The sequence below is a fragment of the Homo sapiens genome, chromosome 3 (assembly GCF_000001405.40).
Source record: "Homo sapiens chromosome 3, GRCh38.p14 Primary Assembly".
In the NCBI taxonomy this organism is placed as follows: domain Eukaryota; kingdom Metazoa; phylum Chordata; class Mammalia; order Primates; family Hominidae; genus Homo; species Homo sapiens.
Window position 1 is genome coordinate 5372799 of NC_000003.12, and position 13938 is coordinate 5386736.

At 41.5% G+C, this 13938-nt stretch overlaps 1 pseudogene, besides 1 other annotated feature; it reads left to right on the forward strand.

Moving 5' to 3' along the window:
• Positions 1 to 13573, forward strand: part of LOC124906205 (UPF0764 protein C16orf89-like) — a 79830-nt pseudogene extending 66257 nt beyond the window's left edge.
• Positions 4026 to 4145: an enhancer, noted in NCBI's record as "active region_19385". NCBI's record gives its function as "activates an Ori minimal core promoter by ATAC-STARR-seq in GM12878 lymphoblastoid cells {active_cell/tissue: GM12878}" and the evidence as "EXISTENCE:reporter gene assay evidence [ECO:0000049][PMID:35858748]".
• Positions 13574 to 13938: the final 365 nt, after the last annotated feature.

The following is a 13938-nucleotide window of genomic DNA, read 5'->3' on the forward strand; positions in this document are numbered from 1 at the left end:
ATTTCTGAGGCCTCTGTTCTGTTCCATTGGTCTATATATCTGTTTTGGTACCAGTACTATGCTGTTTTGGTTACTGTAGCCTTGTAGTATAGTTTGAAATGAGGTAGCATGATGCCTCCAGCTTTATTCTTTTGGCTTAGGATTGTCTTGGCAATGCGGGCTCTTTTTCAGTTCCATATGAACTTTAAAGTAGGTTTTTCCAATTCTGTGGTGAAAGTCGGTGGTAGCTTGATGGGGATAGCATTGAATCTATAAATTACTTTGGGCAGTTTGGACATTTTCACAATATTGATTCTTCCTATCCATGAGCGTGGAATGTTCTTCCATTTGTTTGTGTCCTCTTATTTCGCTGAGCAGTTGTTTGCAGTTCTCCTTGAAGACTGCTGAAGTTGCTTATTAGTTTAAGGAGATTTTGGGCTGAGACAATGGGGTTTTCTAAATGTACAATCATGTCATCTGCAAACAGAGACAATTGGATTTCCTCTTTTCCTAATGGAATACCCTTTATTTCTTTCTCTTGCCTTATTGCCCTAGCCAGAACTTCCAACACTATGTTGAATAGGAGTGGTGAGAGAGGGCATCCTTTCTTGTGCTGGTTTTCATAGGGAATGCTTCCAGTTTTTGCCCATTCAGTATGATATTGGCTGTGGGTTTGTCATAAATAACTCTTATTATTTTGAGATTATTCAGAGTTTTTAGCATGAAGGGCTGTTGAATATTGTCGAAGGCCTTTTCTGCATCTATTGTGATAATCGCGTGGTTTTTGTCTTCGCTTCTGTTTATGTGATGGATTACATTTATTGATTTGCGTACGTTGAACCAGCCTTCCATCTCAGGTAGGAAGTCGAATTGATCATGGTGGATACGCTGTTTGATGTGGTGCTGCATTCAGTTTGCCAGTATTTTATTGAGGATTTTTCCATTGACGTTCATCAGGGATATTGGCCTAAAATTCTCTTTTTTTTAATTGTGTCTCTACCAGGCTTTATTATTATTATTATTGTTATTATCAGGATGATGCTAGCCTCATAAAGTGAGTTAGGGAGGATTCCCTCTTCTTCTATTGATTGGAATAGTTTCTGAAGGAATGGTACCAGCTCGTCTTTGTACCTCTGGTAGAATTCGGCTGTGAATCTATCTGGTCCTGGACTTTTTTTGGTTGGTAGGCTATTAATTATTGCCTCAATTTCAGAAGCTCTTATTGGTCTATTCAGAGATTCAACTTCTTCCTGGTTTAGTCTTGGGAGGGTGTTTGTGTCCAGGAATTTATCCATTTCTTCTGTATTTTCTAGTTTATTTGCATAGAGGTGTTTATAATATTCTCTGATGGTAGTTTGCATTTCTATGGGATTGGTGGTGATATCCCCTTTGTCATTTTTTATTGCATCTATTTGATTCTTCTCTCTTTTCTTCTTTATTAGTCTTGCTAGCAGTCTACCTATTTTGTTGATCTTCAAAAAACTGGCTCCTGGATTCATTGATTTTTTTTTTCAAGGGTTTTCTGTGTCTCTATCTCTTTCAGTTCTGCTCTGATCTTAGTTATTTCTTGCCTTCTGCTAGCTTTTGAATTTGTTTGCTCTTGCTTCTCTAGTTCTTTTGATTGTGATGTTAGGGTGTCAAATTTAGATCTTTCCTGCCTTCTCTTGTGGGCATTTAGTGCTATAAATTTCCCTTTACACACTGCTTTAAATGTGTCCCAGAGATTCTGGTACGTTGTGTCTTTGTTCTCATTGGTTTCAAAGAACATCTTTATTTCTGCCTTAATTTCGTTATATACCCAGTAGTCATTCAGGAGCAGGTTGTTCTGTTTCCATGCAGTTGTGCGGTTTTGAGTGAGTTTCTTAATCCTGAGTTCTAGCTTGATTGCACTGCGGTTTGAGAGACAGTTTGTTGTGATTTCTGTTCTTTTACATTTGCTGAGGAGTGTTTTACTACCAATTATGTGGTCAATTTTAGAATAAGTGCGATGTGGTGCTGTGAAGAATGTATATTCTCTTGATTTGGGGTGGAGAGTTCCGTAGATGTCTATTAGGTCTGCTTGGTTCAGAGCTGAGTTCAATTCCTGGATATCCTTTTTAACCTTCTGTCTCATTGATCTGTCTAATATTGACAGTGGGGTGTTAAAGTCTCCCATTATTATTGTGTGGGAGTCTAAGTCTCTTTGTAGGTCTCTAGGACTTGCTTTATGAATCTTGGTGCTCCTGTATTGGATGCATATATATTTAGGATAGTTAGCTCTTCTTGTTGAATTTATCCCTTTACCATTACCTGGCCTTCTTTGTCTCTTTTGATCTTTGTTGGTTTAAAGTCTGTTTTATCAGAGACTAGGATTGCAACCCCTGCTTTTTTTATTATTATTATTTTTTTGCTTTCCATTTGCTTGGGAGATCTTCCTCCATCCTTTTATTTTGAGCCTATGTACATCTTTGCACATGAGATGGGTCTCCTGAATACAGCACGCCAATGGGTCTTGACTCTTTTCCTATTTGCCAGTCTGTGTCTTTTAATTGGAGCATTTGGCCCATTTACATTTAAGGTTAATATTGTTATGTTTGAATTTGATCCTGTCTTTATGATATTAGCTGGTTATTTTGCCCATTAATTGATACCGTTTGTTCACAGCATTGATGATCTTTACCATTTGGTGTGTTTTTACAGTGGCTGGTATCAGTTGTTCCTTACCATATTTAGTGCTTCCTTCAGCAGCTCTTGTAAGGCAAGCCTGGTGGTGACAAAATCTCTCAGCATTTGCTTGTCTGTAAAGGGTTTTATTTGTCCTTCACTTATGAAGTTTAGTTTGGCTGGATATGAGATTCTTGATTGAAAATTCTTTTAAGAATGTTGAATATTGGCCCCCACTTTCTTCTGGCTTTTAGGGTTTCTGCAGAGAGATGCTGTTAGCCTGATGGGCTTCCCTTTGTGGGTAACCCGACCTTTCTCTTTGACTGCTTTTAACATTTTTTCCTTCATTTCAACCTTGGTGAATCTGACGATTATGTGTCTTGGGGTTGCTCTTCTTGAGGAATATCTTTGTGGTGTTCTCTGTATTTCTTGAATTTGAAAGTTGGCCTGCCGTGCTAGGTTAGGGACGTTCTCCTGGTTAATATCCTGAAGAGTGTTTTCTAACTTGGTTCCATTCTCCCTGTCACTTTCTGATACTCCAGTCAAACGTAGATTTGGTCTTTTCACATAGTCCCATATATCTTGGAGGCTTTGTTCTCTTCTTTTCACTCTTTTCTCTCTAATCTTGTCTTCATGCTTTATTTCATTAAGTTGATCTTCAGTCACTGATATCCTTTCTTCCACTTGATCAAATCGGCTACTGAAGCTTGTGCATGCGTCACAAAGCTCTTGTGCCATGGTTTTCAGCTCCGTCAGGTCATTTAACATCTTCTCTGTGCTGTTTATTCTAGTTAGCCATTTGTCTAACCTTTTTGCAAGGTTTTCAGCTTGCTTGCAATTTGTTAGAACTTGCTCCTTTAGCTCAGAAAAGTTTGTTATTACTGACCTTCTGAAGCCTACTTCTGTCAACTTTTCAAACTCATTCTCCGTCCAGTTTTGTCCCCTTGCTGGCGAGGAGCTGCGATCCTTCGGAGGAGAAGAGGTGCTCTGTTTTTTGGAATTTTCAGCTTTCCTGCTTCTCTGCTTCTCTGGTTTGTCCCCATCTTTGTGGTTTTATCTACCTTTGGTCTTTGATGTTGGTGACCTACAGATGGGGTTTTGGTGTGGATGTCCTTTTCGTTGATGGCCGAATAGGAACAGCTCCAGTCTGCAGTTGTCAGTGAGGTTGACGCAGAAGACGAGTGATTTTTGCATTTCCAACTGAGGTACCTGGTTCATCTCATTGGGACTGGTTGGACAGTAGGTGCAGCCCATGAAGGGAGAGCTGAAGCAGGGCAGGGTGTCGCCTGACCTGGGAAGTGCAAGGGGTCGGGGGATTTCCCTTTACTAGCCATGGGAAGCCGTGACAGACTGTACCTGGAGAAACTGTACACCCTTGACCTAATACTGTGCTTTGCCCACAGTCTTAGCAACCGGCAAGCCAGGAGATAACCTCCACTGCCTGGCTCAGTGGGTCCCACGCCCATGGAGACTTGCTCACTGCTAGCGCAGCAGTCTGAGATCCACCTGCAATGCTGCAGCTTGACGTGGAGGAGGGGCACCTGCCATTGCTGAGGCTTGTGTAGCTTACAGTGTAAACAAAGTGGCCAGGAAGCCCTGACTGGGCGGAGCCCACTGCAGCTCAGCAAGGCCTACTGCCTCTGTAGATTCCACCTCTGGGGGTAGGTCATAGTAGAACAAAAGGCAGCAGACAGCTTCTGCAGACTTAAACATCCCTGGTCTAACAGCTCTGAAGAGAGCAGTGGTTCTCTCAGCATGGCGTTTGAGCTCCGAGAATGGACAGACTGCCTCCTCAAGTGGGTCCCTGACCCCCGTGTAGCCTGACTGGGAGACATCTCCCTATAGAGGCCGACAGATACCTCATACAGGGAGGTGCCCTTCTGGGATGAAGCTTCCAGAGGAAGGATCAGGCAGCAATATTTGCTGTTTTGCAGCCTCCACTGGTGATACCCAGGCAAACAGGGTCTGGAGTGGATCTCCAGCAAATTCCAACAGACCTGCAGCTGAGGGGTCTGACTGTTAGAAGGAAAACTAACAAACAGAAAGGAAGAGCATCCACAGTTTTTAAAATGTATACCCAGAAGTGGATTTGCTGCATCATATGTTAGTTCTGTTTTTAATTTTTTTTTTTTTGGTGATCGTATTGCTTTCTTGCCCAGGCTGGAGGGCAGTGGTGTGATCTCAGCTCACAGGTTCAAGCTATTCTCAGGCCTAGGCCTCCCGAGTAGCTGGTATTACAGCCATCTACCACCATGCCCGGCTAATTTTTTATTTTTAGTAGAGACAGGGTTTCACTGTGTTGGCCAGGCTGGTCTTGAACTCCTGTCCTTGAGTGATCCACCAGCCTCAGCTTCTCAAAGTGCTGGGATTATAGGCATGAGCCACCATACCTGAACTATTTTTACTTTTTTGAGGAGCCTCCATCCCTTTTTTTCATAAAGGCTATTCCAATTTACATTCCCACCAACAGCGGACCTGGGTTCTCTTTTCTTTACACCCTGGGCCAGAAACAAACATTTACGAGCTTTGATTTTCTCTTCTTTCAAATAGGGACAATAATGAGCCCATGTGACTGTTGTGAAAATTAAATGGTAATGGGAAAGTACGTAGAGCATTTAGCTTTGTGCTAGGCACAAACAAAACACTCATTCAATTGTATAAATTGTATACACTTATACTAATTATAGTAGTTGTTATGATTTATTGGGAAAAATTGCTTAGAGTGGGGATCTTTTGTATGAGGGGGAAAGGAATCAAAAGTGAGATGGTAGAAATCTGCAGAAAAAAAGTAGCAAATTCAAGAGCCACTCCCATGGTCAGCCACACAGAAAAGAGAAGCAGGGACAAGACAAGGAGAGATGGAGAATGGAACCAACCACAAGAGTGGAATGAGGGAGGACCAGGACATACTAGAAATAGGAACAAACAGAGTTAAAGGTTTTTGTCAAGGCCACACTGGGCACTCTCAAGCTGTTAGCTGCTCTATCTGTAGGAACCCTGCATTATGGTAATGACATTATTATAAGAGAGTTGGTGCCCAGATGAGAAAATCATAATTACTAGTGGAGCAAAGCATGGTTTAATGAGCTCCACCTTGTAGCAAAGGTCTGGAGTCTGTAATGCAAAACCAAGAATGAGGTCTTGAGGGAAATCATTTATGTTATAAACAAAAGGATGGTGTTGATGTTGAGGCTGTAGTTGGTTTTTTGGTTTTTTTCCTTTCTTTTTTTTAAATTATACTTTAAGTTCTGGGATACATGTGCCTAATGTGCAGGTTTGTTACGTAGGTATACACATGCCATGCTGGTTTGCTGCACCCATCAACCCGTCATCCACATTAGGGATTTCTGCTAGTGTTATCCTTCCCCTAGTTCTCCATCCCCCAACAGGCCCCGGTATGTGATGTTCTCTTCCCGTGTCCATGTGTTCTCATTGTTCAGCTCCCACTTATCAGTGAGAACAGGTGGTGTTTGGTTTTCTGTTCCCGCGTTAGTTTGCTGAGAATAATGGTTTCCAGCTTCATCCATGTCCCTGCAAAGGACATGAACTCATCCTTTTTTTATGGCTGCAGAGTATTCCATGGTGTATATGTGCCACATTTTCTTTATCCAATCTGTCATTATGAGCATTTGGGTTGATTCCAAGTCTTTGCTATTGTAAACAGTGCTGCAATGTACATATGTGTGCATGTATATAATTTATAAATGATTTATAATCCTTTGCGTATGTATCCAGTAATGGGATTGCTGGGTCACATGGTATTTCTGGTTCTAGATCCTTGAGGAATCACCACACTGTCTTCCACAATGGTTGAACTAATTTGCACTCCCACAAAAAAAGTATGAAAGCATTCCTATTTCTCCACATCCTCTCCAGGATCTGTTTCCTGACTTTCTATTGATCGCCATTCTAACTGGCATGAGACGGTATCGCATTGTGGTTTTGATTTGCATTTCTCTAATGACCAGTGATGATGAGTGCTTGTTCATGTTTCTTGGCCACATAAATGTCTTCTTTTGAGAAGTGTCTGTTCATTTTCTTCTCCCACTTTTTGATGGGGTTGTTTTTTTTTCTTGTGAATTTAAGTTCCTTGTAGATTCTGGATATTAGCCCTTTGTCAGATGGGTAGATTGCAAAAATTTTCTCCTATTCTGCAGGTTGCCTGCTCACTCTGATGATAGTTTCTTTTGCTTTGCAGAAGCTTTTTAGTCTAACTTGGCCCTATTGTCAATTTTGGCTTTTGTTGCTTTTGGTGTTTTAGTCATGAAGTCTTTGCTCATGCCTATGTCCTGAAAGTTATTGCCAAGGTTTTTTTCTAGGGTTTTTATGGTTTTAGGTGTTATGTTTAAGTCTTTAACCCATCTTGAGTTAATTTTTATATAAGGTGTAAGGAAGGGGTCCAGTTTCAGTTTTCCACATATGGCTAGCCAGTTTTCCCAACACCATTAATTAAATAAGGAATCCTTTCCCCATTGCTTGTTTTTGTCAGGTTTGTCAAAGATCAGTTGGTTGTAGATATGTGGTGCTATTTCTGAAGGCTCTGTTCTGTTCCATTGGTCTATATGTCTGTTTTGGTACCAGTACCATGCTGTTTTGGTTACTGTAGCCTTGCAGTATAGTTTGAAGTCAGGTAGCATGATGCCTCCAGCTTTGTTCTTTTTGCTTAGGATTGTCTTGGCTATGCAGGCTCTTTTTTGGTTCCATATGAAATTTAAGGCAGTTTTTTCAAATTCTGTGAAGAAAGTCAATGGTAGCTTGATGGGGATAGCATTGAATCTATAAATTACCTTGGGCAGTATGGCCATTTTCACAATATTGATTCTTCCTATCCATGAGCATGGAGTGTTCTTCCATTTGTTTTTGTGTCCTCTTATTTCGTTGAGCAGTGGTTTGTAGTTCTTGAAGAGGTTCTTCACATCCCTTGTAAGTTGGATTCCTAGGTATTTTATTCTCTTTTTAGTAATTCTGAATGGGAATTCACCATGATTTGGCTCTCTGAAATGCTTGTGATTTTTGCACATTGTCTATCCTGAGACTTTGCTGACGTTGCTTATCAGCTTAAGGAGATTTTGGGCTGAGACGATGGGGTTTTCTAAACATACAATCATGTCATCTGAAAACAGAAACAATTTGAGTTCCTCTCTTTCTATTTGAATACGCTTTATTTCTTTCTCTTGCCTGATTGTCCTGGCCAGAACTTCCAATACTCTGCTGAATAGGAGTGGTGAGAGAGGGCACCCTTGTCTTGTGCTGGTTTTCCAAAGGGAATGCTTCCAGTTTTTGCCCATTCAGTATGATATTGGCTGTGGATTTGTCATAAATAGCTCTTATTATTTTGAGATACATTCAATCAATACCTAGTTTATTGAGAGTTTTTAGCATGAAGGGGTGTTGAATTTGGTCAAAGGCCTTGTCTGCATCTGTTGAGCTTATCATGTGGTTTTTGTCATTGGTTCTGTTTATGTGATGGATTACATTTATTGATTTGTGTATGTTGAGCCAGACTTGCATCCCAGGGATGAAGCCGACTTGGTCATGGTGGATAACTTTTTGATGTGCTGGTGGATTTGGTTTACCAGTATTTTATTGAGGATTTTTGCATCGATATTCATCAGGGATATTGGTCTAAAATTTTCTTTTTTTATTGTATATCTGCCATGTTTTGCTATCAGGAGGATGCTGGCCTCATAAAATGAGTTAGGGAGGATTCCCTCTTTTTCTATTGTTTTGAATAGTTTCAGAAGGACTGCTACCAGCTCATCTTTATATCTCTGGTAGAATTTGGCTGTGAATTCGTCTGGTACTGGATGTTTTTTGGTTGGTAGGCTATTAATTTACTGCCACAATTTCAGAACTTGTTATTGGTCTATTCAGGGATTCAGCTTCTTCCTGGTTTAGTCTTGGGTGAGTGTATGTGTCCAGGAATGTATCCATTTCTTCTAGATTTTCTATTTTATTTGCATAGAGGGGTTTATAGTATTCTCTGATAGTAGTTTGTATTTCTGTGTGATCAGTGGTGATATCCTCTTTATCATTTTTTATCACATCTGTTTGATTCTTCTCTCTCTCCTTCTTTATTAGTCTGGCTAGTCATCTATCTATTTTGTTAATCTTTTAAAAACAGCTCCTGGATTCATTGATTTTTTTTTTGAAGGGTTTTTCATGTCTCTGTCTCCTTCAGTTCTGCTCTTGTCTTAGTTATTTCTTGTCTTCTGCTAGTTTTTGAATGTGTTTGCTCTTGCTTCTGTAGTTCTTTTAGTTTTGATGTTAGGGTGTCGATTTTAGATCTTTCCTGCTTTCTCTTGTGGGTACTTAGTGCTATAAATTTCCCTGTAAACATTGCTTTAGCTGTGTCCCAGAGATTCTGGTACATCGTGTCTTTGTTCTCATTGGTTTCAAAGAACTTCTTTATTTCTGCCTTAATTACGTTACCCAGTAGTCATTCAGGAGCAGGTTATTCAGTTTCCAGGTAGTTGGGGTGTTAAAATCTCCCACTATTATTGTGTGGGAGTCTAAGTCTCTTCATAAGTTTCTAAGAATTTGCTTTATGAATCTGTGCTCCTGTATTGGGTGCATATACATTTAGCATAGTTAGCTCTTGTTGCACTGATCCCTTTACCATTAAGTAATGCCCTTCTTTGTCTCTTTTGAACTTTGTTGGTTTAAAGTCTGTTTTATCATGGACTAGGATTGTAACCTCTCCTTTTTTTTTTGCTTTCCATTTTGTTGTAAATACTCCTCTATCCCTTTATTTTGAGCCTATATGTGTCTTTGCACGTGAGTTGGGTCTCCTGAATACAGCCCACCAATGGGTTTGACTCTTTTCTAATTTGCCAGTCCGTGTCTTTTAAATGGGGCATTTAGCCCATTTACATTTAAGGTTATTATTGTTATGTGTGAATTCGATCCTGTCATTATGATGCTAGCTGGTTATTTTGTCCGTTAGTTGATGCAGTTTCTTCATAGTGTTGATGGTGTTTTCAATTTGGTATGTTTTTGCAGTGGCTGGTACCAGTTGTTCCTTTCCATGTTTAGTGCTTCCTTCAGGAGCTTTTGTAGGGCAGGCCTGGTGGTGACAAAATCTCTTAGCATTTGCTTGTCTGTAAAGGATTTTATTTCTCCTTCACTTATGAAGCTTAGTTTGGTTGGGTATGAAATTCTAGGTTGAAAATTCTTTAAGAATTTTGAATATTGGCCCCCACTCTCTTCTGGCTTGTAGGGTTTCTGCAGAGAGATCTGCTGTTAGTCTGTTGTGCTCCCCTTTGTGGGTAACCTGATTTTTTTCTCTCTCTGGCTGCCCTAACATTTTTTCCTTCTAAAACCTTGGTGAATCTGACAATTATGTGTCTTGGGGTTGCTCTTCTCCAGGAGTATCTTTTGGTGTTCTGTATATTTCCTGAATTTCAATGTTGGCCTGTCTTGCTAGGCTGGGGAAGTTTTCCTGGATAATATCCCGAAGAGTGTTTTCCAACTTGGTTCCATTCTCCCCGTCACTTTCAGGTACACCAATCAAATGTAGGTTTGGTCTTTTCCTAGTCTCATATTTCTTGGAGGCTTTGTTCATTCCTTTCCATTCTTTTTTCTCTAATCTTGTCTTCATGCTTTATTTCATTAAGTTGATCTTCAGTCACTGACATCCTTTCTTCTGCTTGATTGATTCTGCTATTGATACTTGTGTATGCTTCACAAAGTTCTCGTGCTGTGTTTTTCACCCCCCTCAGGTCATTTGTGTTCTTCTCTTAACTGATTATTCTAGTTGGCAATTCCGCTAACCTTTTTTCAAGATTCTTAGCTTCCTTGCCTTGGGTTAGAACATGCTCCTTTAGCTCGGAGGAGTTTGTTATTACCCACTTTCTGAAGCCTACTTCTGTCCATTTGTGAAACTCATTCTCTGTCCAGTTTTGTTCCCTTGCTGGTGAGGAGTTGTGATCCTTTGGAGGACGAGGCATTCTGGCTTTTGGAATTTTCAGGCTTTTTGCACTGGTTTCTCCCCATCTTTGTGGATTTGTCTATCTTTGCTCTTTGATGTTGGTGACCTTTGGATGGGGTTTTTGTGTGGACATCCTTTTTGTTCACGTTGATCCTATTCCTTTCTGTTAGTTTTCCTTCTAACATGCCCCTCTGCTGCAGGTCTCCTGGAGTTCTCTGGAGGTCCCCTCCAGACGCTGTTTGCCTGGGTATCTCCAGCGGAGGCTGCAGAACAGAAGAGGTTGCTGCCTGTTCCTTCCTCTGGAAGCTTCGTCCCAGAGGGGCCTGGCTAGATGCCAGCTGGAGCTCTCCTGTATGAGGTGTCTGTCAGCCCCTGTTGGGAGGTGTCTTCGAGTCAGGAGGCATGGGGGTCAGGAACGCACCTGAGGAGGCAGTCTGTCACTTAGCTGAGCTAGAGCACTGTGTCGGGAGACCCACTGCTCTCTTCAGAGCTGGCAGGCAGGAACATTTAAGTCTGCTGAAGCTGTGCCCACAGCTGCCCAGGTGCTGTGTCCCAGGGAGATGGGAGTTTTATCTATAAGCCCCTGACTGGGGCTGCTGCCTTTCTTTCAGAGATGTCCTGCCCAGAGAGGAGGAATCTAGAGAGGCAGTCTGGCTACAGCAGTTTTGCTGAGCTGCGGTGAGCTCCACCCCATTCGAAATTCCCAGTGGCTTTGTTTACACTGTGAGGGGAAAACCACCTATTCAAACCTCAGTAATGGGGGACGCCCCACCCCCCACCGAGCTCAAGCATCCTAGGTTGACTTCAGACTGCTGTGCTGGCAGCGAGAATCTCAAGCCAGTGGATCTTAGCTTGCTGGGCTCCATGGGGGTGAGATCTGCTGAGCAAGACCACTTGGCTCCCTGGCTTCAGTCCTCTTTCCAGGGGAGTGAACAGTTCTGTTTCACTGGCATTCCAGGTGCTACTGGGGTATGAAAAAAACTCCTGCAGCTAGCTCAGTGTCTGCCCAAATGGCCGCCCAGTTTTGTGCTTAAAACCCAGGGCCCTGGTGGTGTAGACACTTGACAGAATTTCCTGGCCTGGGAGTTGCACAGAATGTGGGAAAAGCAGAGTCCCTCATGGCTTCCCTTGGCTATCGGAGGGAGTTCCCCAGCCCCTTGTGCTTCCAAGGTGAGATGACACCCCACCCTGCTTCGGCTTGCCCTCCATGGGCTGTACCTAGTTTTTAACCAGTCCCAATGAGATGAGCTAGGTACCTCAGTTGGAAATGCAGAAATCACCCGCCTTCTGCATTGATCTCACTGGGAGCTGCAGACCGCAGTACTTCCTATTTGGCCATCTTGCCAGCCACCCGAGGTCATAGTTTTAAACCTTTAGATACCACTGACTTCTTCCTCAGTCTGCTGACTCCGCTCAAGTCAGTACAGGTAATAAATCACACTGCTGTCTGTGTCTTTCTGTTCTACTTATTGGCATTGTTGCTATTAAGAAAACACAGAGGGAGAAAAGATGTAAGCTCCTTCTTCTGATGTCTTGAGGAGGTTAGCAGGGTACAGGGTAATCTCAGAAGGCTGTTATTTAGTATTTTTTCTCTTTCTCTTACCTTTGCCTAGAAGGGATGGACTTAGAGCGAGGAATAAAACGTGAAGTCACCAATCATTATTCTTTTGCATATACATACACACTGGTGTGTGTATGCGTACACACCCACACATGGTGAGCCAAGGCCTTTGGTAGGTGCTATGTAGGAAAACATAATCCTTGGGCTTGGAATTTTTTTTTTTTTTTTTAGAATGTGACCACATAGGAATATCTTTTTGTGAAGCAGCAGGCTTGCATGGTCAATTTAATGCAGGGTAAAATCAGTTCCTAAGTCTCAATGGAATAGGGAATATCTCAGTCTGGAGGCATGAGTCAAAAACTTCTTCCCCATATTAGCTGCACTGATTTGAGTGTGCAGCTTTATCAAGGTAAGGTTTCTTTTGGAGCTTTGCAGCCCCTAACGTGTTGCGAGCTAGTGAGGATGAAATAGACTTGTCTGTTTCTCTGCTCTTTTCAGGGCTGGAAATTACTTTTCCCTGAATTTTCCACTTTTGCTGTCCTGTCTCTCAGACACCATCTCCTTGCTTGACCTCATTCCCCATCTGTCTCCCTGGTCTATCACTATAACATAGAGACATGTTTTATATTTATAATCCTGCCTTTTATTTTTGATTTCCCATGAGCTCAGGAATATTGTTGAAATATAGCTACACGCATGATATGAAGGCAAAAGGGGCAAGGTACCGATCATCCCAACCTTAACTCATGATGTTCTTACCCTTTAACAGGAAGCTGAAGACATCTCAAAGACAGTTTATGCTCAATCTTCTTCCAGCCTATATCAGTGTATGAACTTGAAATGCTTCAGTAGTAGATGAGAGTTTTAGAATGCTCTGGTGATCCTAGCTTAGGAAAAGTGACCTTTTGATATTCAATGGATAAATCCATGCATTGGGGTGCTAACTCTGCCACCTGTCTTTTCTGTAGTTTTTACTTTTCTAATCATATACTGCTTTTCTTTTTCTGATGTCCCTCTGTGGTGCTATCTGGGAGCCACAGAGTAGGATGACCTAAAATCAGAGAAAGAGGTTAATTGAAATGAGGCTTGTCTGAGCCTAATGTAGCTAGCCTTTGGGAAGAGTGCTCTGAAATGGGGGTGTGGAGGGTAGAGGACCAATAAATGTTTTCATGCTTTGCTTTATACCAGGTCTCTCCTTGAAAAACTCTCCTGATCTCTATTGACATTAATTAAACTATGAGTAAATAAGCACGTCTGCATATTATTCTGTCCAGATTGTAAAGAGGATGTTTAATTGTAAAGAAGGAACAACAGAGGTATGTGTTGAATCTGGGGAACTGAGGGTCTGTTATCTTTATGAAATGTGGTGTTTTACAACCTTCCTGGATACCGTCAGTTCATCTGCTGCCTCTCTTCTCGATGTTGGGCTGAAGAAACAGCAAGCTGCGCTCCTAAAGTAGACCTAGATGCTAGAAAATGTGCTCCTACTTTTCTTGTGATTCTACCTTTACCAGAAGAAAAAAGTAGATCTGGGATGCATCATCCTTCAGTTCTATTAACATGTTTATTTCAGTGTTATTTACATGCAAAAATGACTCTTCACTGCAAAAATGACTCTTCACTGCAAAAATAATATATTTAAGAAATACCTCAATATCCACAGTAAAATATGAGAGTATCTATTTACCACCTTGATTCCTTTCTCACTTACCTGTCTTTTGTAAACACCTCTTTGTATCAATTACCTCTGGGTTTATACTTCTTCTGAACCACACGTATGTCCTTGTCACCTGTCTTGCACATCGTATCATTGTCTATGGCTTTT